The sequence below is a fragment of the Homo sapiens genome, chromosome 9 (genome assembly GCF_000001405.40).
Source record: "Homo sapiens chromosome 9, GRCh38.p14 Primary Assembly".
NCBI classification, from domain to species: domain Eukaryota; kingdom Metazoa; phylum Chordata; class Mammalia; order Primates; family Hominidae; genus Homo; species Homo sapiens.
In genome coordinates, this window is record NC_000009.12 from 126,258,196 (window position 1) to 126,285,995 (window position 27,800).

Sequence of the window (27,800 nt, forward strand, 5' to 3'; positions counted from 1 at the left end):
ACTGCTACTTTACCAAATCATATTAGTTTTTGACTTTTTACCCCTCCATTTTATTTAATTTTCAAAATGAAAATATCATTATTGTTTTCTGGATATATAAGTACTACCCATTCATTATTTTAAAATGCGAAGTACTTAGAAGAGTAGAAAGTGAAAGCCCCTCAGTAAGTCTACCCCTGGGGTAACCACGATTTCTTATTAGCTGTAAATAATTTTTAGTTAATTATCTGGGATTTCCCAGATAGAAAAAGCATCTCATCTTTAATTAACGTATGACAAGGTAATGTTTGGAGCATTAAATCAGTGCATTTTCTTTAAAAAGTAATTTTAATTATGAAATATGTTGAATATACAAAAAAAGTTTAGAAAATGATGATAGATACCCATTTCAGTGTTATCAGTTTAACATTTCGCCATACCTAACCCTCCTGCATTCTTTTCTCACTCTCCCTCCCCAAAGAATACCACTCTCCTGGAGTTGGTGGATGTCATTCCCATGTGTTTACAGCATAAGTGTATATCCACGGCAATGTATACAAGTTGTTTGCACGTTTTTAAATTTATGTGAACAGTGGCATACTCTTCATATCTTTTTAAAATCTGATTTTTATATTTACTCATGTTGATACATATAGATTTAGTGCATTCCTTGTATCTGCTTGCTAGCATTTTATTGCGTGAATATTTTTCCATTTCCTTTTTAAGGTAGTGTAGTATTGTTTCTCTTTTTAAACTATTTCAAGTAGTACATGAGAAACATTTTTATTCATGTCTCTTAGGCACATGGGAAAATTTGTCGAGGGGAGATACGTGTAAGTGGAATTGCTAAGTCACAAGTTAGGTGCACCTTCGTATTGATTAGTCCAATACTACCAAAATATCTCCAGTGTTGCACCAGTTTACCCTCCCACCAGCAAGAGTTCTTGTTCCCTTGAATCTTCTCCATCACTAGGTATCATCAGCTTTTAAGTTTTGCTGATTGATAGATGTGAAATGCATCTCCTTGTTGCTCTAATTTCATTATCCTGATTACGAGTGAGTTTGCAGAATTTTTCACTTGTTTATTTACTATTTGGATTTTCTCCTAGCATTCTGTTTAGAGCCTTTGCTCATTTTCCCATTTTTCTTCTTATTAATTTGTAAAAGTTCATTCTATATTGTGGAGACTAATATTTTGTTGCAAATAGTTTCTCCCAGATGGTGGTTTGTCTTTCACTTTATGATATGTTTATTGTATATAAATATTTTATTTTTAGGTACTAAAATGTATCAGGTTGCTTTTATGATTTAGTGCTTTTTCTATCTTGCTTAGCAAATCCTTCCCATCTCCATGTTCTAAACACGTGTTCCTATATTATAAAAGTTTCAAAATTTTGCAACTTAACAATTAGTCTTTAATCTACCTGGAATTTATTTTTTATATGAAATAAGGGGGGAATTTAATTTTATCTTTTCTATATGAATAAATCACCCCAGCATTGTTTTCTCCCTTTGTTTAATTTTAGAAAATGTCAAACATACACCAAAGTATAAAGAAAGAATAGGATCATAAACTTCATGCGCTCATCACCCAACTTCAATAAGGATCAAATCACAGCCAATCTTATTTCATCTCTACCTCCAAATACTCCTTCTCTTGAATTATTTTGAAGGGAATCCAGATATTGTACAACTTCATCTGTAAATATTTGAACATGAACCTTTAAAACTTTAGATCTCTCTTAACCACCATAACATTATTAAATCAAAAAACAACGCCTTTATATCAATAAAGAAATTTCTACAAATTATATCATTTTCTTTTTGCAGTTTGTTTTAATCAAAAGCCAAATAAAGTCCATCCACTGCACTTGGTTGGATGTTTCCTAAATTTATTTTAATCTGTAAGTATCTCCTTTCTCATTTTTCCTCTTGAAAATTCTTTATTAAAGAAACTAGACTGCTTGTTCTGTACAGAGTCCCACATTCTAGATCTGCCTGATTGGATCCTGTGGTATCCTTTAACGTGTTCATCTGCCCTTGTGTTGCCTGTAAGCTGAAAGTCAGTCAGTCAGCCTAGAGACTTGATCACATTCAGGTTTGATGTCTGGTAGGAGCACTTCCAACAGGATTTTGGGTACTTCCATCAGTAAAGGATATAATATCTAACATCACATTTTTGGGATGTTAGCAACCATAGGAGATTATTGTCTAGATCCATCGCTTCCTTAGGGCTTTTTCAAAAGGTGATGTTCTAATTCCACCACTCCTTGATCATTTATCATAGCATCACTTATTAAATATTCTATCCTTTTCTCACCATTTGTGCAAATCCCTTAGACACATAGGTCGGTTTCCAGACTCTTTTCTGTTCTTTTGACCTGTTTGTGTGTCTTCGCACTAATGCCACATAATTTAAATTACTCCATTTTCTTAGCTGGCAGGAGAACCTATCACTGAACTCATAGGCTGATACACACACTTATCAAAAAAATAGCTCTTCTTGTCTCTCTGTGATTGCAGACATATTTTGAAATCAGCTTATCAAGTTCCAGGGAAAAGTCTCTTTTTGTTTTGGAATGGTACTGCATCAAATCTATATATTAATTTAGATAAAATTTTCATATTTATGATATTGAGTCTTCACAGCCGTTAACATGACTTATCTATGGATTTATATCCTTCAAAGAAGTCTTTTATATCTTTCAAAGAAGTTGCATAATGTTCTCTTTAAAGTTCTTGCATATCTTTTAGATCTTATGAGTAGAATCTTTTTAAAAATTACATTTTTAAATAATTTGTTGCTGGTATGGAGGAAGGCAATCAATTTTTGTATATGGAATTTGTATTTATTGGGCTTGCCAAACTCTGTTATTCTGATAGTTTGTTGGTAGATTTCCTGAAAACTTATTTCAAATGTGAGCAAGGATATTTTTACCTGGGAATAATGACACTTCTATCCTTTCCAATCCGTATATTTTTCTTATCTTATTAATTGTATTTGTCCAGTACAATATTGAATACAAGTGGTCATAGCAATCAGTTTTACTTGTTTTGTTTTTTTTCTTCTTCTTCTTTATTTTCAGAGACAGTCTCATTATGTTGCCCAGGCTGGTCTCAAACTCCTGCGTACAAGCAATCCTCCCACCTTGGCTTCCCAAAGTGTTGGGACTACAGGCGTGAGCCACCACACCCATTTTTGTTTATTTTTGCATTTAATAGGAATGCTTTTTGCTATTCACGAGTAGATAGCATGTATAGTGTAACTTTTATATACATACCTGATATGGTTTGGATCTCTGTCCCCACCCAAATCTTACCTTGAATTGTAATAATCTCCAGCTGTCAAGGACAGGACCAGGTGGTGATAATTGAATCATGGGGGCAGTTTCCCCCATACTGTTCTCGTGAGGGTGAGTGCGTTCTGGCGAGATCTGATGGTTTTATAAGGGGCTTCCTCCGTTGTTCCGCACCTATTTCTGTCTCCTGCCATCCTGTGAAGAGATGCCTTCTGCCGTGATTGTAAGTTTCCTGAGGCACCCCCGCCGCCCCACCACCACAATCATGGGGAACTGTGAGTCAATTAAACCTCTTTTCTTTATAAATTACCTAATCTCTCAGGCAGTTCTTTATAGCAGTGTGAGAACAGACTAATACAATACCCCTTATGAAACCAGGCATGTTCCTCTCTCTTCCCCAGATAACATTTCATAAACGAGCATTCAGTTTCGTCACATGCTCTCTCCCACAATTGTTGAGCTGATAACATGGTTTTTTTTTTTTTTTCATATATTACTGGGCTAACTACGTACGTACTTTTTAAGATTAAACTTTCATTCCTCAAATAATCTCTACTTGGTTATAATGTTTTCTTCCATTTTTCATGTATTACTCGATTTGTTTCACTAATATTTTATTAAGGATCTTTGCCTCTGTGGTCATAAGTAACTGTGTTATACCGGGCAGTCCTAGTAGTCTCCTTGTCTGTTTTGGTATTAAGGTTGCATCAGCTTCATAAAATGTGCTAAGGCGCTTTTCTTCTCTCTCTATTCACTAGAACATATTGTACAGAATAAAGATTTTCTAGTCCTTGAAGCTTTGATATATCTCACTTATAAAATCATCTGTACCTAGTAATTTTATTTTGTCTTGTTTTTGTGGTCATAGTTTAAAATACTGATACAATTTTATTAACGGTTGTAGATCTATTCAGGCAACCCCTTCTTCTTGGGTCAGTTTTATAAATTCCATTTATCTTAGAACATTGTTCAAGCTTTTAATTTATTGTTATAAAATTCTTCATAGCACCCTCCTTTGACTTATTATATCTGAAGTTTTGTTCCCCTTTTTTATTTTTAATATTGTTTATTTGTGCTTTTTTTCTTGATAAATCATGCTAGAAGTTTATATATTTTATTAATCTTTGCAAAGAATCAATTTAGGGTCTTGTTTCTCTTCTCTACCGTTAATTTGTTTCATATTTAATTGATTTCTATGATTTTCTTTGTTCTCATTTTTATCATTGTCCTTGGAGTTTACTTGGTCTCTATTTTTCTGGAATTGGATGCTTAACTCATTGTTCTTCCATCTGTTTAAAGTACTTTCTTCTTTCAGTATTGCTACTCATATTTTTTTTAAAAACATGGTACTTTTATTTTTGTTTCATTTCCTAAATTAATGGGGCATTTTGGCAATCTACTTATAATTGATTTCTAATTTTATTACACTGTTATCAGACTATATGATCTGCATGACATTGCAATTTTCAAAAACTAGTCTGGTCTAGTACTAGGTTGACTTTTATAACTATTCCATAGATACTTGCAAAGACTGATTATTCTCAAAATTTTGAATATAAGGTTTTAAACAACTTTATTCTTTCAACCTTGTTAACTGTGTTGTTCAAATCTTCTCATCCTTACTAGTTTTACTTTTCATCTCTTTGACATATTAATAAGAGAGAGCACATTAAATATCTCCACGATTGTGGATTTGTCTTTTTCTTGTAATTCCAGAAATATTTTGCTTTATATATTTTGAATTTGTTGTTAGATGCATACAAGTTTAGGATTCTTACATGTTTCTGGTTGTTTCTTATCATTTTGTAACATTACTCCTTGTTTCTATTTTTTTATCTCAAAATCTATTTTGCCAGATCTTAATATAGCTTTTAAATTTGTTTTTGGATTAAATTTCTCTAACATAACACTTTCTAGTTTTTAAAAAAATATCCAATCATCACTGGGCATGGAGGCTCACACCTGTAATATCAGCACTTTGCAAGGCTGAGGTGGGAGAATCACTTGAGGCCAGGACTTAGAGATCAGCCTGGGCAACATAGCAAGACCCCGGTCTCTACAAAAAGTTTAAAAAAAAATTAGCTGGGTGTGGTAGTGTGTGACTGTAGTCCTGGCTACTTGGGAGGCAGAGGTGGGAGAATCACTTGAGCCCAGGAGTTCAAGGCTGCAGTGAGCAATGCTCATGCCATTGCACTCCAGCCTGGACAACAGAGCAAGACCCTGTCTTTAAAATAGGAAAAAAAGAAATCCAATCTTTCTGACACATCATCCTTCACTATACACCTGTTCACTTCCCCACCCCCAATCTGAGTATCTTTGTCTTTTAACTGGCAAAGTTATTCCATTTACACTTATTTTGAGTACTAACATACATTTCCTTGATCTTATTTTGAGAGCTTTCTGTTTGCCATCCTTTTTCTTTACTTCCTCTCCCCCACCCCTACCTCACCCCCTCATTTCCTGCTTTCTATTTGATCAGTCAAATTTCTTTATTTCCTCTCCTCCTTTCTTCTCCTAATTATTTGGAAAGCTTTATTTAACATCTCTTATATTTCTCTGCTTTCAGATGGTATGCTTAAATTTTTATAATGCATGCTTGAATGACCAAAGTCTGAGTTAATCAGTATTCATGCCCTTGTCCCAACCCATTCAGGGATCTGATAACCACTCCCTTCCACATTGTCCATGTTATCCTTGTCTAGAAATTTAATTCCACACTGTTTTAAAACTTATCCAAATTAATGCCCTGTGTAATATCTAGTCTTCTCACCCAACAGCTACTGAACTTTAGTTTGTACTCCTACAGCTCTGACTTTTGAAAACTTCCCTCCTTGTTTCTATCATCTGGGTGTTTTTATGTGTGTGTGTGTGTGTGTGTGTGTGTGTGTGTGTGTGTGTGTGTGTGTTTATGTGTAAGGGAATAAATAGAACCCGTACTTTGAAAGCATTATGGAATATTTGATCCAGGATTTCTAGGAGGATTCTAGGTGACAGAAAAAGGGGTACCACGTCATCTCAGTTTGCTATTTGCTATATTGAATGGCATGGCAAGATTTTCTAGGCATTCATATAGATGAGCTTAGAGAAGGAAATTTTTTTAAACATACATTCTACTGTATATACTTTCCTGCATCTTTCTTTTTTCCATCGGTAATAAGCATCTTTTCTTGTCAATATCTATATATCAATCTGATTCATTTTAATGATTACAGTGTATTGCATAGTACGGATTTAAAATAGTTTATTGAATCACATTCTGTTTGATGGACACTTAGATTATTTCCAAGTTTTGCTATTATAGAGAATGCTGCAGCAGACAGCATGTACAAGCTGCCTTAGGAATGTTTGACAATGTTTCTTGCTCTAAGGTAGCAAAGACATGGAATTGTGTTACACAGTGTACAGTTTTTCATCTCAGTCCTGCCCAAATGCCCTTGAAAGTGGGAATGCCATTTTGAGTACATTTTATACAAACTTTATATTGCTCTTATAATGTATGAATGTATTACCCCCATCTTGCCAACACTTATTATATTCAAACTTAAAAAAATTGCTAAGGTAATGAGTGAAGAATAGTATCTCTTTATTTTACTTTGCAGCAAGTTCCCTGATTATTAGTAAAATGAAGCATCTTTTAAAATAGGATTAGTGACCATTATTAATTTCCTTTTCTGTGGATTGCCTATCCACATCCTTTGTCCATTTTCTATTAGATTGCTGGATTTTTTTTCTCACTGATTTGTAAGAGTCCTTTCATCTTGATCCTAGTCCTTTGTCTCTTAAATAGGTTGTCAATATTTTTGGCACACTTGTCATTTTTCAAAATCTTTTGTAGTGTCATTTATCATGCAGAATTATGACTTATAGTGTAGTCAAATTTATTAAACTTTGCGTTTATGGCTTTTGGTTTCTGTGCCTTATCTAAGAAGCTGCCTGTGCCCCAAGTTGATATTAAAGTCTCCTACATCTCCTACATTTCTTCTAATACAATTGTTTTACATTTTGCTCTTAGGATTTTAATTTATTGAACTTTTTCTTATGGATAGTGTGAGGTAGGATCTAATTTTATTTTTTCCAAATAGTATACAATTTTTCCAATATCATTTATTGAACACTACATAGTTTACTCAAGCATTTGGCATTGTATCTTATTTAAATTCATAAATCAGTGAACACGGTATATCTGAACTCTACTCAGTTCTGTTCATTTAATTGCCTTCTCCAGCACCAATATCACACCCTTTTAATTCCTATTATTTTATAAAATTATGACTCTTATAGAACAAAAATAGATTCTTTTAAATATTCCTCTGGTCAATTCATGTACATTTGTTCTTCCATATTAATTTTAGAACCAGCTTGTAAAATTCCATGAAAAATCATATCGAGTTGCAATTGATATCTCATTGATTTTAAAGGCTATTTTGAAAGAATTTATTTTATTTTCCAAATGCTTTAAGCTTTTTATTTGCTTACACTTCTGTTATGAATTTTTTGTTTTATTGCATGCAAGAAAATACAGCCTTCTCCCAGCAATAAATGCTAATTGAGAACCTACTCAATTGTATAGCCACTGTACTGGACTCTGAGGACCGAGTTGTGATGAGACAGATATGTTCTCTGCTCTCTTGTGGCTTAAACTTCCTATCTTTTGAAAGTTATTAACATTTCCTTTGTGGGTTAGAAAAATGATTACTTTTTTTTAAAATGCTAACTGGAACGTGTTAAGATTATATATTCTATATTTGTAGATTGCCGATTTTGAAATGTATCTAGTAAATAACCTTATTAATGAAATTATTCATATCTCTCATATTTTTATTTCTTTTTGCCTACTTGATTTGACAAAGACTAAGCAATGCAATAATATTAAGGTACCCTATTAAGATTGTGACTTTGCCAAATTCATCTTGTTATTTCTCATAGCTTTTGCTTGTATATTGCTTTTTAAAAATTACCATTTGTTAGATTTTTTTAATAAAGAAAATGTTAAAGAATATCCCATAATCTCACCATCAACATAATCTTTGCTAACCCCTATTGTGTGTGCACATGCATGCACACACACAGGGCTAGGAAATACAAATGGTACAGAAACACTGAAAACAAAAACTCAAGTCTTCTGTGTCACTATCCCTCTTTCCACTGCTAACCATTGGCAGGATTTATCTGCAGTAACCTTCCTTCCCTCCAGTGCTGTCCCATAGAAGCTGCCGTTTCTGGAACTTCAGTGATGAACTGGACGTGGGCTCTATCTAATGACACAGCCTCCATCATGACTTGGAGCTGGTGTTCTCAAAACCCTACCCCAGTCCTGTTGCCGATGCCTCCTGCTCTGAAACTGCTTAAGGCTAAGAAGCCTTCCTTCTAGAGCAGTGCTTCTCGCGTGTCCATGTGCACACAGATCCCGAGGGATGTTGATAAAAAGCAGATTCTAATTCAGTGGGCTGGTGTAAGACCTAAGATTCCGCGTCTTTTTTAAGACAGAGTCTTACTCTGTCGGCCAGGCTGGAGTGCAATAACGTGATCTCGGCTTACTGCAACCTCTGCCTCCTGGGTTCAATGATTCTCATGACTCAGCCTCCCAAGTAGCTGGGATTACAGGCGCTTGCCATCGCGCCCAGCTAATTTTTGTATTTTTAGTAGAGACAGGGTTTCACCATGTTGGCCAGGCTGGTCTTGAACTCCTGACCTAGGGCAATCCACCCACTTCGGCCTCCTAAAGTGCTGGGATTACAGGCGTGAGCCACCGTGCCCGGCAGATTCTGCATTTCTAACAAGGTAACGAGAGTGATGTTTGTGGGCCAACCTTTGAGGAGCAAGGACCTGTCCTTAAACTTGGCTGTACTTCGGAATCTCTTGAGGAGTTTTATAAAATATGAATGTCTGGGTAACAACCTCCACCCCCCCCAACCCCCACCCAAGAAATTCTGATTTGGTATGGGTTGCAGCCTACACATAGAGCAGGTGAAAAGCTCCCAGGTAATTCTAATATGCAGCAAAATCTGAGAACCACTGTTCTACAGATGCTGTCTCCCTCATCTCCACACTTGCTTTTGCTGCAAATTTACTCTCAGCAGGTGCTTGAACTGACGCAGTGTGTGCGGCTTTGGTAGCCTCTCCCCTGGGGTCCTAGAGAGGACCAAGATCTCTGCCATGTGCTTCTCAGAGCAGGCTTTCTTTGCCTTGGAAAATTCAGTTCCAGGCCTTGAGGATTCTTCTCACTTTGTCTTATTCTGCAATCATGGGGCATGTCCCTGAAGTTTCATCCTCCCTCAGGGTTCCCCTTCTACCAGGAAGGCACTGTTTTTGTCTTGTGGTATCTCCCAGAGTGAGAGATAACAAAATCAGAACGTTCTGGCTATGCTGAAAGCATCCATTGAGCAAATATATCTTTCCCCATCTTTACTTCCTAAATCAGATCACCTTCCCAGGAGATCTTCTCCATCATCCAGCATTGAACTGAGGCCTGCCTCCATCTGCCATTGTCCTACCTGACCCCCCTTTATTCAGTTTTATCTTTGCAGTGCCTTTCCTTAGAAAAAGTGGTCCTCAAAGTGGGTCCCTAGGCAGTAACCTCAGCATCGTCTGGGAATTAGTTAGAAATTCAAAATTCTCAAGCTGCACCCCAGACCTACTGAAGCAGAAACTCTGTGGGCAGGACCCAGCAATTAGTGTTTTACCAAGCCCCCCAGATGATTCTGATGCCTACTCAAGCACCCCTGCCTGAGAGCATCGGATGCTGATTAATTTGACCTGGGGTGGTGGTCAAGCATTACTAGGTTGAAAATATTCCCCAGGTGAATCTTACGTGCAGCCAGGGCAATGAACCACTGCTTCAGAGGGTCCTAATTCCTTACGTTAATAGGCCATTTCTCAGGGACCAAGTAATACCTTGATCTCCAGCTACAGTGGTTCTAGCACCTTGAAACTCACCTAGTTAGTGATGCTTCTAGTATTTTATACTGATCTTCCTCCTCTTCTTAAATTTGTCTGGATTTTCTGTAACTCCTTGGATTAGATGCCCCAGTATCTAAGGGGAGGGTCGTCATTTGCTCCAATGGTATGTGCTCACTCGCTCTTTCTCTCCCTTTCTCTCTCTTTCTTCTCTTTTTCTCTCTTTCTTCTCCCGTTCTCTCTTTCCTCTTTCTCTCTCTCTCTCTCTCTCTCTGTGTGTGTGTGTGTGTGTGTGTGTGTGTGTGTGTGTGTGTGTGTCTGTAAGAGGTTTCCTGGATATGGTTCCCTTGGGGAGAATCATTCTAGTCTCCTCTCTCAGACCTTGCTTCTCTTCCTTAGTGAATTTCTGTGGCCTCAATTACCGTTTCTGGTCTAGTAACAACTGAGACATGGCCCCTTCTGAAATGCTGTGCCTACATTTATTTCCTTTTCCTGTAAGTCTATTCTGCCTTCAAGATCACATTTGCCATTTCATATCCATCCAGTCTGTTCCCAAGATCTCAATGTTTCTCTTCAGAAAATCTGTCTCTTCCTCCACCTTAGTGGAGCTGTTTTTAATCTGTTTCCTTTCTCCTACTGCGTCTGTTTTGATCATCTGAGGCATACTTTGCTCCAGACACCCTGATTTCCTGGACAACTTAATTCTCAGAGACAGAGTCCTTCAAGTACGAGCTTCCTTAGCTCTTTTTGTAATTTTTGGGGTTTGCGACGTTACTGAGTTGTCCCTCTGTGAACCTGAGATGACAACACATCTCTTTATAACAGGTTCTCTGTTCCTTCTTTACATTCATAAAATATGCTATCTTGACAGTGAAGCCTGGAGTTGAGTCTCTAAATCCAAGGCCATGATTATTCCAGAGGCAACTGTAGACCATATGGTGGGGTGTGTGAACCCTAAGAGCCTGTGGGGAAGCCACATTAATTCCCAGCTCTCCTTAGCCCTGTACCACAAGGCAACATAGAAAGACATGGGGTTTTTGGCAGCCTCCCTCCGCTGTCTACCTCAGCTTCACACTAGCAATACAATGGTGCAGGCTCACACTAGGTATTGTAGGGCATGGAACGTGGGTGCAGTATAAATTGTACTGAAAGATCATAAAAGCGATAGGTAATCATTCCTCCTCTTAATGTATCAAAAGTCTGTGTGGCAGGATATCAAAGAGATATCTGCACTCTCATGTTTATTGCACCACTATTCACAATAGTCAAGATTTAGAAGCAATCTAAGTGTCCATCAACAGACACCTGGACAAAGAACGTATGGTACATATATGAAACGGAGTACTATTCAGCCATGAAAAAGAATGAGATCCTGTCATTTGTAACAACATGGATGGAACTAGAGGACGTAATGAAGTGTTAAGTGAAATAAGCCAGGCCCCTACTCGGGAGGCTGAGGCAGGAGAATGGCGTGAACCAGGGCAGCGGAGCTTGCAGTGAGCTGAGATCGTGGCCATTGCACTCCAGCCTGGGCGACAAGAGTGAGACTCCATTTCAAAAAAAAAAAAGGAATAAACCAGGCACAGAAAGACAAACTTCACATGTTCTCACTTATTTGTGGGAGCTAAAAATTCAAACAATTGAACTCACGGAGATAGAGAGTAGAAGGAGGGTTACCAGAGGCTGGGAAGGGTAGTGTAGGGGAGAGGAGGGATAGTTAATATTTACAAAAATATAGACAACAGGATGATGACAGTCAATCCAAATTTATTATACATCTTAAAATAATTAAAGGAGTATAATTGGATTGTTTGTAACACTAAAGTAAGGACAAATTCTTGAGATGATGGCTACCCCATTTACCCTAATGGGATTATTAAGCATTATATGCCTGTATTAAAGTACCTCATGTACCCCATAAATATATATACCTACTATGTACTCATAAAAATTAAAAATTAAAGAAAAAGGTCTATGTGGTAGGTTGAATAATGATGTTTCTGTCCAAAGATGTTTATGGCTGAGTCTCTGGAGCCTGTGGCTATGGTAAAGGGATATTGAAGATGTGATGATATTAAAGATCTTGAGATGGAAAGATTATGCTAGATGACCCCAGTGGGTCCTAAATGTAATCACCAGGGTCCTTCTAAGAGGAGGCAGGAGGCTCAGAGTGAAGTCAAGTTGATATAACAACAGAACAGAGAGGGATGAGAAGATGCTACACTGTTGGCTTTGAAGGAGGAGGAAAGGATCATCAGCAAAGGAAGACAGAGGGCTTCTAGATGCTGGAAAAGGCATGGAAATTGATTCTCTCCTAGAGCCTCTGGAGGGAGCGTGACTATGCACCTTGATTTTGACCCAGTGAAACCCTTTTGGACTTCTGACCTCCAGAACAGCAAGATAAGAAGGTTGTGTTGTCTTAAGCCACTAAGTGTGGCAATTTGTTACAACAGCAGTCAGACACTAAAAGAGTCTATATATGGGTAAACTTTCTTTTCCCTATAATCAAAGCATATCTACAATGCCTGTCCACAGGGGCCCTAAGGCCTAATGGCATCTTCAGAGAACCTGGTGGCCCATGCTGAGGCAGGCACGGTTTTGCCCAGGGTGAGCTGCAGCCGCTCTTAGCCTAAGGCCTCAGGAACCAACTCAACCCACTTTTGCTAAGGCCTATGCCTGTATAAAAATAGCAGCTTGCCTGTAAAAATATAAAATAAAATAAAATAAAAATCTGATGGCCTGGTCCCCTCAAAAGCCTCAGTCCTTGAGTATTAATTTGCTCCCCACGTTCCACTGCTTGTTCACTAGGCACTAGGCCCAATGTGTCAGCTAGGAACACTATCCTGAATGTGCAGACTTAGCCACCCTAACTGGGGCCGCCTTCCCCGAAGGATCCAGCCTGCCCCTATACATTTATGGCTTATGGGGGCTGACCAGAATGGGTGCTTCCCATAGACAGCTGGCTCCTGAGAATGGAAGAGGAAGCAGCTGAGCTACCCAGACCCAGCTCCTGCCCTCAAGCTTCCCTACCAAGCACATCACCTCCCACTTCCAAAGGCAGAACCCAGGGAGCAGACAGAGAGGCCAGGGGTGCTACCCAGAGGGACCTCTCTCCTCCTGGAAGGAAACACCAGAAGTGAGGAGAAGAGTTTCTCCCAGCACACTCATTGAACACTGTGCACCAATCAAGCCCAAAGCTCTACAGAATCTATCTCATTGAGTCCCCACAATGATCCTATGGAGATCAAGTCTATTCACATTACCATTGAGTTCTACACTTAAACCCAGAGAAGTGAAGCAATTTGCAACAACTACTAAAATAATTTTGTGCTTCCAACCAACTAATTCAGCAAGCATCTCTGTTCTGCCATGTTCTTAAGTTGATCCCAATGGCCCTTCCTCCAGAAACAAGAGCAAGGCTATGTTGAGTGCCAGTGAGCACTGGTGGGTAGGAAGGTTAGTTCTTCTTCCTCTGTTTCTCATTTGCCATGGAGCCCCCATTGATCCGCACCTGGTCTTCAACATCATCACCCATGTGAAGCTTTGCAAGGCACAGGGGGCCCAGATATCTCCCACAGGTCAATCTTGGGTAATTCTGGAAAGTCAGCCCCAAACGTTGCAACTGGAAACAAAATTTTGTTTTAGAAAAATAAATCTGACATTGTAACTCCCCTACTGAGAACCCCTCTATGGCACCACATTGCTCTTAGGGAAAGTTGCAACTGTTTAAAATGGCCCATGAGGTTCTGCCACATCTGGCACCTGTTCACCTTGCTAGTCTCCACCTCCTAATTTCTTTTTTTAATTGAATTTTAAAATGTTTATCAAAGTACATGTATATGGTTTAGAGTCAAATAGCAGCATGAACTTACAACAAAAACAATAGTCTCCACTATGTCTTCAGTTTCCTCTCCCACAAGACAGCCACTTTACATGCGTTCACTGATATCTTCTGCTATTTACCTTTGTACTTCAAAACACTGGTTTATACTGCTAGTTTCACATTTTTAAAGAAAAATCTGTTGGCTTTCTAGTAAAAAAGAAGAGTATTTAGTTATCTTACACCACACCACACATATCCCCCTCTTCCCATCCTTCCAACATAGTTACATCACAATTTTTGTTGAGTACTCAATATTTATATAAGAACTATATAAATATTGACCATAGCTGAGCCATGTAGTGTACTATTAATATATGCTTTTCTTGTATGATTTTTGTTTTTTTCCAGAGTTAATAATTGCTTCGTTTTTATCATTTGCTAGTTTTCACCCCAGTTTTTGCCTTTGCCTTTCTGTGGGATCTCATTTCCTGGATCCCATGCTTTTCTCTTTCTTGATTTTCTCCCTCATTTAGCTGTAGGCGTATGTCTTCCAGTAGCATCTTGAGAAGGAACACATAAGAACTAACTTTACTTTTTATCTTGCGTATCTGAAAATGTGTTTATTCTACTCTTAGGGACAGTTAAATTATAGCTACATGAGCTTCAGTATTCTTGGTTGGAAATAGTTTTGTCTTATAATTTTTAAGTCTTTGTGTCATGTAGCTTCCAGGGTTGTTATTGGGAAGGTACACTGTTCTGGTTCCCAATTCTGTGTATGTAACTTTTTCCTTTCAGGAAATTTCCAGGATCTTCTCTTTATACTTGGTGTTCTGAAATTTCACAACAATATGCCTAAGTGTGAGTCTTTTTTCATTGGGCTAGAGTGTTTCCTTCCTTCCATCCTTCCTTCCTGCCTTCCTGCCTGCCTGCCTGCCTGCCTTCCTGCCTGCCTTCCTGCCTTTCTTTTTTCCTTTGAGACAGAATCTCACTCTGTCACCCAGGCTGGAGTGCAGTGGCATGATCACGGCTCAATGCAGCCTCAGCCTCCCGGGCTTAGGCAAATCCTTCTGCCGCAGCCTCCCGAGTAGCTGGGACCACTGGCACATGCCACCATGCCCAGCTACTTTTTAAATTATTTGTAGAGATGAGGTCTCCCTATGTTGCCCAGGCTGGTCCTAAACTCCCGGGCTCAAGCGATCCTCTCGCCCCAGCATCCCAGTGTTAGGATTATAGGCAGGAGCCACTGTGTCTGGCCTGGAATGTTACCTTTCAATCCTGAAATTCAAGTCCTTCAATTCTGGGAAATTTTCTTGTATTTTTTTTGATAATGTTCTCCTTTTTGCTTTCCCTTCTCTTTTTCTAGAACACTTATTAGCATCATGCTAGAACTCCTGAATTGATTTATTTCTTCTCTCTTTCTTGGTCTCTGATAGTTGGCTGTTGGACCTCCTGGATTGATTCTTTAATTTTCTCATACTTCATACCCTACTTAACAACAAATTTTCTTAGCTGGGCAACATGGTGAGACCCTGTCTCTATAAAAAATACAGAAAAATTAGCCAGGCATGGTGGCACATGCCTGTGACCCCAGGTACTTGAGAGGCTGAAGTGGGAGGCTCACTGGAGCCCAGGAGGTCCAGGCTACAGTGAGCCATGATTGCACCACTACACTCCAGCCTGGGTAACAGAGCAAGACCCTGTCTCAAAAAAAAAAAAAAAAAGGAAAAAAAATCTGTTTTTATTCTAATTTCTGAGTTATCTGAACTTTATCTTCCAACCCTTTTGTGTTATCTCAACATTCCCTTAAGAAATATATACGTAACATTTAAATCTTATTTTATGACTGCAGTGCCTTCTCGTATCTTTCAGGGGATGTTATTTATGGGTGTTTATTTAAATGTATTGTCTCTTTTTCCTCCTAGTTGCCTTTTTCTATTTTCCTGAATCTTTGGTCTCTGGCTTTCATTATAGAGTTTTCCACAAATATCTGGTGACTCTTGACTGCCTGTCATTCATGTTTAAAAGTGTGGTGTAAGAAGCTGACCGGGGCTGGGCGCAGTGGCTCACGCCTGTAATCTCAACACTTTGGGAGGCCAAGGCGGGTGGATCACCTGAGGTCAGGAGTTCAAGACCAGCCTGGCCAACATGGCAAAACCCTGTCTCTAGTAAAAACTAAAAATATAAAAATTACCTGGGCATGGTGGCCCTTGCCTGTAGTCCCAGCTACGGGGGAGGCTGAGGCAGAAGAATCACTTGAACCCAGGCCAAGATCACACCACTGCACTCCAGCCTCGGCAGTAGAGAGAGACTTCGTTTCAAAAAAACAAAAAACAAAAACAAACAAAAAAAAGCAAGCTCTATGCACCTGGGTGGGGCCCAAGGGTGACCAGGCCGAGACTGGAGATTTCATTAGAGGGTTTCAAATCTCAAATCGTGGTCCCTGTAGACCTTGTCCCCATGCCAAGTGGTTTCCCCAGAAAAGAATTCTCTAGTCTCCTGACCTGGAGAGGGAGGGAGACATGGGAACAGCTTGAAGCCCAACTGCCCACATCCCGTAAACAGCGTGGGAAGACAAGGTGGGAATCCCACCCTTTAATTCTTTAATTTGTTTTCCTCCCAGTTTTAGTCTGGGTCTCACTCTTTCCTTTGCGAATGCCCCAAATCCTGAGTCGCCTCCAGTCAGCTTCTCAAAGAGTCGACTTCTTCTGCTGTGCTGGGAGGTATAGTTGGTCGCCTGGCTAAATGAGGCTTCAACCTGTCCGCTCCTGTCGCTCCCTCTCTCTGACCTGTGGTCCTAGCTACTCAAGAGGCTGAGGCAGAAGGATTTGCCTGAGCCCAGAAGGTTGAGGCTGCAGTGAGCCATGATCATGCCACTGCACTCCAGCCTGGGTGACAGAGTGAGAGTCTGTTTCAGATAAAGAAGTGCCAGGCTCCCATGTTTGAGCCTTTCCCAGGTTCCCAGGTCCCAGGGGCTGGTTGCTTTGCTCCTGGCAGGCTCCCCTTCCTGCAGGCTGAGATGTCGGCTTTCTCTGCTTTGCAAGTCCCTTACCCTCATCCATCTGCCCTCCGGCTTCCAAATCTTGTTAAAATCTCCTGTCTGCTTTTGTCTCCTCTCCTCTTCTCTTTATTCTGTGGGTTTATACATTTTAAAATTCCACTAAAGTCCATTTTGGTGAGGTTTCAGGAGTGAATAGGAAAAACACATCTTCAACCAGCCATCTTATCTCACATTCCTGACATTTCTCCATGGTTTTCTTTGTGTGAGCAGCATCAGCTTCCTCTCCAGTTCTCAAGCATGCCAGCGTCGTCCTGCCTCTGTGCCTTTGTGTGTGCTGCCTCCCCTCCTGGAACATGCTCCCCTCCTTTCACCTGCTTGTCACCTGGCTCACAGTGACTTACCAGACATGTGTCAGCTTAAAAATCGCCCCTCAGAGAGGCTCCCCCAATCCCGGGCCTCCTGCCTACCTAAAGCAGTTCTAGTGACTAACTTATCACACACCAGCGCTGCTGCTCCTGAATCTTCTGTGGCCCATTCTTTCCCTCTCAGACTCAGGCGGTTTTCAGAAAGAGATAGAGAAGCCAGGAGGGCTTCCTTCCCGGAGCCCAGAGCGCCCTGCGGGAAGCCCCTCGGGCCTGGGCCTAGTTTCACTCACCCTCTGCACCGATGCCTGGCTGCTGCCCTGAGTAGCTGAGCCCGTCCCTGGGATCCCTTCCAACTGCTGGCCAAGAGCGAGAGGTCAGCTGAAACAAGGCCTTCTCTTTGTTCTCCCAGCCTCCCCAGGCATCCTGGATCTTTTCATTGCACTCTCTTTTTCTCTGTTCCTGTCACTCTCTGTGTGTCTCTCTCTATCTCTGTTTCAGTGTCTCTCTCCCTGGCTCTGTTTTCTCCTCTCCTCCTTCTCCCCACCTGCCTTCTCTTCTCCCATTCTCTCTCTTCTTTTCTGTCCACCCACCTCATTTCCCCTTTGTCTGTCTCCATGTTCCTCCCACGCCCTCCCTGGCTCTGGCTCTGAGGATCCCTCTCTCTCTCTCCCTGGCACCCATGCACTCAGAAGGCACCTCCGCCTCCTTCCACTGCCTCTCTTCAGGTGCATGGCTGCCAGGGCCTTCCTGCAGTGAGGCCCAGGTGTAGTGTGGCCCGGTGGCCGGCCGGACCGCCTGCTGTCTCACACCCTTGTAAGGTTACTATTTATCTAGTGCAACCGAAGTTGGCGCACACATCTGGGGCCTGGTACTTAGTGCAATTATTTATGATTTCCACCAAGATTTAAAAGCTCATCGCCGGCCTTGTAATGCAGTAACTGATTGCGCTGCTAATGTAATTAAGAAAAGATTATGATGTCCACGTGGCGTACCAGATGGTGGCATTCATAGTAATCGGCGTGCACAACTGGCAGACAACTGCACAAGGGCAGCCGAGCGGAGGCAGCTGGAGACCAGCATCTTCCTCCAGTCACTCAGGAAGGAGAGGAGGCTGCTGGGAGTGCTGGACAGGGAAGGGTGGGGAGGGGAAGGGGAGGAGGAGAACCCAAAAGGAGAGGAGGGGTCCAGCTCCCCTGATCTGTGGCTCCGAAGTGGGTTCTGTTATTGCACACACACACATGCACTGATAAAGTTTTGCTCATACACATACACTCAAGGGCACATGCAGACACACACACATACACAGATGTCCATGAATAAGGGACTCTTGCCTTCGTGTATTCAAAAACTTAGACTGTCTCGTTGTGCTAAGCCTTGAAAATATATCAGTAAATAAAACAGTGATTCCCTTCCTTGTGGAGCTCAACAGATTAGAGAAGGAAAACCCATTGATCAAATAACCACAAGAATACATGAAAAGTTGAATTGCATTTAATGTTACAGAGAGAGGTGGGTTGTGTTATGATGGCTTCGTGGGGCGTTTGACTGGGTCGGGGAGTTCAGGGAAAGCTTCTCTGAGGAAATAACAACTGAGGTGTGATCTGAAGAATGAATAAGAGCTAACAGGTGATAAGAGAAAGGAAAGGTGTTTCAGCAGAGGGAGGATGTGCAAAGGCCCTGGGGTTAGGGCGGAGAGCACAGCTAATACACGAGTCTAAGAAAAATCCAAGGCAAACTTGAAGAAGAAAAACAAAACTGTATGCCAAGACTTTTAATAAAGCTATGGTAATGAAGGCAGTGTGGTATTGGTGCAAGGGTGGACAAACTGACCAATGAAACAGAGGAGAAAGTCTGGAAACAGACCTACACATACATGATTCCTGTATGTAGGACAAAGACAGCACCATCGTCCAATGGGAAAGGAGTGATCTTTTCAGTAAATGGTGCTGGGTCCGTTGGAGATCCATAACAAAATAAGTGTGTCTTGACCCCTATCTCACATCATACACAAAAATCTATTCCAGAATTTTGCAGAACTAAATGTGAATGGTAAAACAATAAAGCTTTTTTTTTTTTTTGAGATGGAGTCTCGCTCTTTTGCCCAGGCTGGAATGCAGCAGCACAATCTCAGCTCACTACAACCTCTGCCTCCTGGATTCAAGCAATTCTCCTGCCTCAGACTCCCGAGTAACTGGGATTGCAGGCGCGTACCACCATATCCAGCTAATTTTTTATATTTTTAATAGAGATGGGGTTTCACCATGTTGATGAGGCTGGTTTCAAACTCCTGACCTCAAGTTATCCACGTACCTCAGTCTCCCAAAGTGCTGGGATTACAGGCATGAGCCACCGTGCCTGGCCCAGCCAACAATAAAGCTTTTAGAGGAAAACATAGGAGAACAGCTCTATGACCTTGGAGTAAGCAAACATGTCCTAAACAAGTCACAAAAAGGCTATGTAAGAAAAAAATTATAAATTGAACATATTAAAATTTAAAAATTCTATTCCTAAAATATACCAGCAAGAGAGTGAAAAGCTAATGGAAACAGTGGGAGAAGATGTTTACAACTCATTTAATGAAGAACTTAGATTCATAAGATATATAAAATTTGCTACAACTCAATAACAAAAAGACAAACCACATTTTTTTAATGGGGGAAAAAACTTTAACAGGCACCTCACCAAAGAAGATATTCAAAAGGCCAATACACATATGATAAGGTGCTTGACTTCATTAGTCATAAGAGAAATGCAAACCAACTAAAATTACAAGATACCACTGCTACCCACCATGATAGTTAAAAAGATAAAATATCAAATATTAAAGAGGACATGCAGAACAAGAACTCCCATGCACTGTAGGTGGGTACTTTGGCAAATTCATTAACTGCTAAAGCTGAATATATGCACACCTGTGGCCCAGCAATTCCACTCCTTGGTATACACCACACTAAATATTTATCATGGACATGTACTAAAGTGTCCATAGTTGTACTATCTATAATAGTCAAAAACTCAAAACTACCTAAATGCCCATAAATAATAGAATGAATAAATTTATCAAAATAGATAAATTGTGGTATATTCACACATTTAAATATTATACAAAAATGCAAATAAGCAAATTACAAAAGGGTCTGATATCGTAGAACCTTGGAGAGACTTGGCCTCAAAGACGCCATGTGTAAGGGAAAGTGGAAGTGGCACATGGGGCTTAAAACAAGGGGGTTGACTGAAGGCTGGTGGATAATGCTATCTACTCCTAGACCTCCTAACCCTACTCCTACACACAGAACACCCAGAACTCTAGTGTCTAGCCACAAGGCAAGAGGTCAGAGGGTTCCTCATTGGAGAAAGCCCCAGCAAAAAAGACTACCTCATTCTAGCCCTACCTCATTTGGGGTCTTTGGCTCAACTACTCATGTATGCAAGGCTCCCAGTCAGCTTTTCATTGCCTGCCTCTTAAATATAAACAGATAACCAAGATAAAATAGAGAAATCAAGTGTATAAACAGAAAACGTGAACCCAGAGGAAATCAAGATAACATGCAAAGTAGAAGAGTATTTCAAAAGAATCAAATTAGTGTGCTCAGAAAAAGATGAAAAACTTGTAACTAGACGGTACTATACTGTCTATGAGAAAGGAACTATCAATAAGAAAGGACTCTGAGAAATTAAAAATTGAAATGCTGAAGTGAACAATTCAATAGAATTAAAAGATAAATTTAAGGGATTTTCCCAGGAGGTAAGATAAAGATAAAGGAGGCAGAAAACACAAGAAGAAAATAAGAAACAAAATATTTATTTAAGGGTTTCAATAGTTGACTAATGGTAGATCCAGAAAAATTAATTTTAAAAGGGGGCGTGGAGGAAGAATTAACAAAGATATAATACAAGAAATTTTCTCACAGCTGAAGAATACAAGTCTACAGAATAGACAGAACCACTGAATGCTCAACAAAGATAAATGCAAAGTAATCAACATATAGATACACTGCCATGAAATGTCAGAACACTAAAAATAGGCAATATAAAAAGCTTCAAGAAAGAAAAATATGTCATACATAAAGGATTAAGTACCAAAATGCCATCACATTTTTCAATAGTAGCATTGGATGCAATATTTTCAATATCATCAAAATTCTGAGAGAAATCATTTTCAACTGAATTTATATGCCCAGCCAAACTGTTGATCAATGTGAGATTAAAAGAAATAGTCTCACAAAGTTTACCTCCAGTGCACTCTTTTTAAAGGAAATTATTTGAGAATGTGCTCCAGCAAAATGAGGGAGTAAACCAAGGAAAAGGATACATGGTATCCAAGAAACAATGGGCCAACCCAGAAAAACAGCAAAGAGAAATCTCAGAAGAGAAGCAATGCACAGAGCCAAGGAGGAGCCAGACCACATTGGAGATGGAGTCTCTGGAAAGGGAGAGTATAATAAAATATGGAATTGGATGGGAAGGCTGGAAACCAATGAAAATGTGATAATGGTAAATAGCACAAGGGGAAAAGGGCAGGTAGAAATTCCAGGTTGGGGTTGGGGGTGCGGAATGATATTAAAAAAATAAAATACAATCATAATACACTACTTGGCTCTCCAAAGGAACAGTATTTAAATAGTGTTTTTGGCGTGGAGGGGTATAAGCTAAAACCTCACCTATCACAGCAGGAATACAATGACTAATGAAAGATACATAATAAATCAAGAAACAGAAATTGAAGCATATTATTGCAAGTGATCAGACATACTGTAACTAGGAGCTGTAAAGGAGCTGAAATTCTGGGATGAGAACTAGGGATTCGGGGTGGATGTGGGCAGAGATCTATTTTTTTAACCAACGTATGTAATACACTGATGTCTTTTTTAAATGGCCTTTAACTCTGGTAGCAGGGTAGAACTCTGATTACAGGTGGTTAAGAATGGATTCAGGGAAACTGGTTAGGAGAGTATTGCAGCAGTACCGGCAGGAAACAAAGGTTTATTGGACTACATTTGTGGTTGGTGGAGATGGGGACAAGACGATGGAAAAAATGCCATTAGGAGATCAAATTGACAGGCCTAGCTGGTGGGTTGGGTGAAGGGATAGTGAGAAAGCTGGGGATCCAGGGAGGATGCCTAGTTTCCTGCTTGTGCATGTGGGTGGACAGTGAGGCCCCTCAATGAGAATCCTAGTCAAGAATCAAGTTGTTAGGAGGAAGTAGTGGGCTCAGATGGAGACAGGTAGAGTTTAAGGTGCTTGGGAGGCATGGAGGACAAGACACTAGGCAGGAGGTTATAAACACAGCTCTGAGCTCCCATCACATATCCAGGGCTAGGCAACAAGCCTGTTAATGCAGGTGAGCTCTCCTAGGGAGGGACTGAGGACACCAGAGAGAAGTAGTTGATGGTGTAAGGGTGACACTGGTCTCACATCAGATATATCCAGCACAGAGACCCGGACTGGTACAGATCTCAACATAGTCACACAGTCACAGCATCCTTACAGGCACACTTATAACTCAGACCCCCCAAGGATTAGCCATTACTTTAATTTTTTTTTTTCAAGACAGGGTCTCACTCTGTCACCCAGGTTGGAGTGCAGTGGTGCGATCACAATTCACTGCAGGCTCTACCTCCCCGGCCCAATCCATCCATCCACCTCAGCCTCCTCAGTAGCTGGGACTACAGGTGCATGCTACCACACCCAGCTAGTTATTTTTTATTTTAACTTTTTGTAGACACGTGTTCTCACTATGTTACCCAGGCTGGTCTCAAATTCCTGGGCTCAAGTGATTCACCCACCATGGCTCCCCAAAGCACTAAGATTACAGTCATGAGCCACTGTGCCTGGCCTAATATTAAAATAAGATAGTTCAAGAGCACTCATCCTCATGCTGTGGAAGACCTCCTCCAATATTTCTATTCTTGGTTTGCAGGAAGACTCTCCTGAGTCAGATCACACTGCAGCTACACTCAGCACAAGCCCCAGCCCCTAACTGTGGCCCCGACTTCCAACTTTGGCTGATTGTACCCACATACCCACCCCATTTATTTTCCCCAAATGGCACCAGCAAAGGTTGTTGTGTGTAGCAGACTTCTATTAAAAATTTGGGACAGTTACAGTATACAACGGAAGCAAATTAAAACTCAGTATCAGGCATCATCATTTCTAGAAATGTATCAGCTGTACCGCACCATAGGGAATTCTGTACTGGCCATGACTTTGCATGGAATCCCTCCCTTGCTCCCTGTTAGGGTCCTCTTCATTCCCTCTGGCCTTTCCTCCCATCTCCCTTTGTCTTGTCTCTGCATCCTCCATCCCCTGCCTCCCAGGCTGACCCCAGAAATTATGCGAGAAATTCAGCTCTCTCTTTGTTCTCCCTCACCTTGCAGACCTTGCCAGGCCACTTACAACACCCAAGGGGGCCAACAATTTATTTCACAAAACAAAGAGCTATCTCTCATGAGATGAATGATGTCTGTCTCCTAGAATGGTAAACTGGCTGCCTTCTGGCCATTCTTTATTTTTATTTTATTATTTTATTTTTTCAGAGGCAGCGTCTCACTCTGTTACCCAGGCTGGAGTGCAGTGGCATGACCATAGCTCACTGCAGCCTCTAACTCCTGGGCTCAAGCGATCCTCCCACCTCAGCCTCCCAAGTAGCTGGGACTACAGGCGTGTGCCACCACACCTGTCTAATTTTGTATTTTTTGTAGAGATAGGGGTCTTGCTATGTTGCCCAAACTACTGATCTCAAACTACTGGGCTCAAGTAATCCCCCCAGGCCTCGGCCTCCCAAAGTGCTGGGATTATAGGCATGAGCCACCACACCCAGCCTGGCCATTCTCTGAAAAGCACCCCTCACATACACTCATGTGCAGGCATGTACATTTACTTTTACATTTGCTTATGTGCACACATGTTCATAATTGCATATACACACTCATGTGCACACGTTCACACTTATACACACTTGGACATGCAGATGGGCTAAAGGCTTTTCACAGTGAGCATCTAGGGGTAGATGGAAATCACCCACTCAGGTTAACCCCACCCCTAGTGCGAGTGTGTGCATGCACGTGTCTGTGCGTACACTGGCTCTCTGCTGCTTTACGCACTGAGCTGTCTTAAGGGAGTCTGCTTCTGAACCCGTGCCTGTCACCTGGGGAAAGGTCTCTCCTCTGCCCAGCAGCTAGAACCGAGCTGGTGAGCCTGAGTTGGCTGGGACTGTGCTGGGGTCTAAAACATGGCTCTGTCACAATGTCACAGAGGCGGCCTCACCCCGGGCAAACAAGCCAGGAATGGGGGGCTGTGGCAGGAATAATGGCCCCCACCAAAGACGTCCATGTCCTAATCCCCAGAACCTGGGAATATGCCAGTACCCATGTGCACAAGGGGCTTTGCAGACATGATTCAGCTGAGGATCTTAAAATGAGCTGAGCAGGCCCAATGTAACCACAGGAGTCATGAGGGAAAGGGAGGCAGGAGTGTCAGAGAAGACAACAGGACAATGGGGGAAGAGGTCAGAGGGCTGGAACACGGGCTTTGAAGATGGAGGAAGAGGCCCCAAGCCAAGGAATACAGCAGCCCCTAAAAGCTGGAAAAGGCCTGGGAAGGCTTCCTGGAGCCTCTGGAAGGAACACAGCCCTGGCTTCCCCTTAATCTTAGCCCTGTAAAGCTCCTTTTAGACTTCTCCAGAACTGCGAGGGACTATATTTGTATTGTTTCAGCCACTAAGTCTGCCGCCATTTGTTTTGGGTTGTTTGTTTGCTTGCTTGCTTGCTTGTTTTGAGACAGAATCTCACTCTGTCGCCCAGGCTGAAGTGCAGTGGCACGATCTCGGCTCACAGCAACATCCACCTCCCGGATTCAAGCCATCCTCCCATGTCAGCCTCCCGAGTAGCTGGGATTACAGGCACGTGCCACCAGGCCCAGCTAATTTTTGTACTTTTAGTAGAGACAGGTTTCACCATTTGGCCAGGCTGGTCTCGAACTCCTGACCTCAGGTTATCCACCCGCCTTGGCCTCCCAAATGCCAGGATTACCAGGTGTGAGTCATCATACCCAGCCTGCTGCCATTTGTTACTGCAACATTAAGAAACTAGCGCAGGTGCCCCGAGGTGCTGCCAGCTCTTGGAGGCCAGAGATCAGGATAGGGTGAGGTCCTGGGAGGTGTTGCCTCCAGCGGGACTCAAGTTCGGGCCTCTCTGGGTCACTGCCCTGCAGCTATGTGGGGAGCTCGCAAAGACTAAGGAGAAAGGTTCTGCCCAGGTTGCCAGAGAGCAGGGGCTTTCCGGGACTGCGTGGTGTCTCCGGGAGTAGGAGGCTCTGGAGAAGGAGTTAGGCCTGATCATGAAGCAGCCCCTCTCCAGAGGCCACTCCTGCAGGAAGAGAAGCTGGAGGCCAGGGACCCGCTTTCAGGAACAGCAGCCATGAGCCCCTGGGTCTGTGGCTGAGGAAGGGGCAAACCCTGCCATCTTACCGTCTGCCTTTGGAAGGGATTCCAGGTTCTTTAGCTGATGATAGCCAAGCCCCCAGCCTCAGAGGAGAGCCAGTCAATCCCAGCTTGTGTTAATTGCCAGACCGGGCAACTCAGATTCAGGTCTGTGCCAGCCATCTCTGGACCCCACGCCAGAGCAACTGTCCAGCAAGCACCAATGAGCCTGTGTAGGGGGCAGCAAGGGACAGGAAGCCCAGACCCATCTGGGATTGCTACAGAAAAGGGGATCCTCTGGGGCCCATGAATCATCCAGCCATGTTCCTGGACCTCCTGAATGGAAAATTCCAGGGCATCTTCAACCTTAGTTCCTCACACGCTTGGATGAGATCCTAAGTGTCGCTCTTGACTTTGTGCTCATAATTCCAGCAGAACCCATGGTTCTCCTGGGCTGTGGCAGTCCAGTATAATCCCAAGAAATGACCTTGGACGAATGTCTTGAGTTCTGTAGTCCTCAGTCTCTTTCTCTGTGAAATGGATCATGTAATAGTTATCAACCTCACAGTGCTGTTGTAAGGATTAGGTGAAATAATGAGTATTAACTTCCTGGAATAAAGCACAAGAAAAGACTTCTTTTTAAAAAATCTTTTAAAGTGCAGGGACCAAATTTCTGGATCACATTCTGGCCCATCACCATCTGATGCCCACCAAGCACTGGCTATCCTAAGAAAGCGAGTACTCTGGGCCATCCAGAATTTTCTGGGTTTTGCAAATTTTCCAACTCCACTTCCCTGTTGATAAAAGTTCTCAAAAATGGGTGGAGAATCCTAGAAATCCCATCTAAGGATTTATCTATGAATGCTAAAGGACAAGAGAGCAAGAGTGGTGTTTATTATGGTGAAAATGGAAAATTCCATGGCCAATAGCAAAGGTATCATTAAATATATAAAATGGGTTTGCTGACTAAAATGTTATGCATTGATATAAAGGTATTTATACATTTTCTGAAAATTATGACAATTTATCTGTATGGAAATAGAAATATGTTCATGATATATTAAAAAACTCATTATTTAAAACTATTGTTAAATAATTATGTATGTAACATATAATACACACATTTTGATGTATATATGTGTGTTTATGTCAGATACACACAAATATCTTAGATTTATGCACACGTATACATATACACATATACATATAATTTATATTTTAAAACATGTATACGTGTATATCTGTGTGTGTGTGTGTATGAATCTATATACACAGAAAATGGAAAAACAATCTGGAATTAAATAGACCAAAAAGTTAGTGATTGAAATGGTTATTACTGATTAGTGGAATTTCAGATGCCTTTTATTTTCTTCTTTATAGCTTTATGCATTGTCTGAAAAACATGCAATATGTATATACTAGTCTTTTTCACAATGTTAAAACATTTTACACACACAGTATTGACGATGTCATAAAATATCATGAAACTACCAATCAACTTAAGACATATGTTACTTTTCTTGAGAGGAAAATTAGTTTAAGTTATTTTTTAAAATATGTGTTCCATGTCTTTGCTATTGCCAACAGCACTGCAATGAACATATGCATGCATGTGTTTTTTTAATAGAATGATTTATACTTCTTTGGGTATATACCCAATAATGGGATTGCTGAGTGAAATGGTATTTGTGTCTTTAGGTCTTTGAGAAATTGCCACACTGTCTTCCACAATGGTTGAACTAATTTACACTCCCACCAACGGTGTATAATCACTAGTCACAATAGCAAAGACATGGAATCAACATAAATGCCTACCAATAATAGACTGGATAAAGAAAATGTGGTACATATACATCATGGAATACTATGCAGCCATAAAAAAGAATAAGATACTGTCCTTTGCAGGGACATGGATGGAGACAGAGGCCATTATCCTTAGCAAACTAACACAGGAACAGAAAACCAAATACTGCATCTTCTCACTTATAAGTGGGAGCTAAATGATGAGAACACATGGACA

The 27,800-nt window shown here is 41.1% G+C and overlaps 1 long non-coding RNA gene across 1 annotated transcript; it reads right to left on the reverse strand.

The window, feature by feature from the left end:
• Nucleotides 1-11,928: 11,928 nt before the first annotated feature.
• Nucleotides 11,929-17,720, reverse strand: LOC101929116 (uncharacterized). The gene is made up of 3 exons (NR_121584.1): nt 17,652-17,720; nt 14,048-14,205; nt 11,929-13,797 (listed from the first exon to the last, which is right to left on the reverse strand). It is a non-coding gene; the product is annotated as an uncharacterized LOC101929116 (long non-coding RNA).
• Between the last annotated feature and the right edge of the window lie 10,080 nt (nt 17,721-27,800).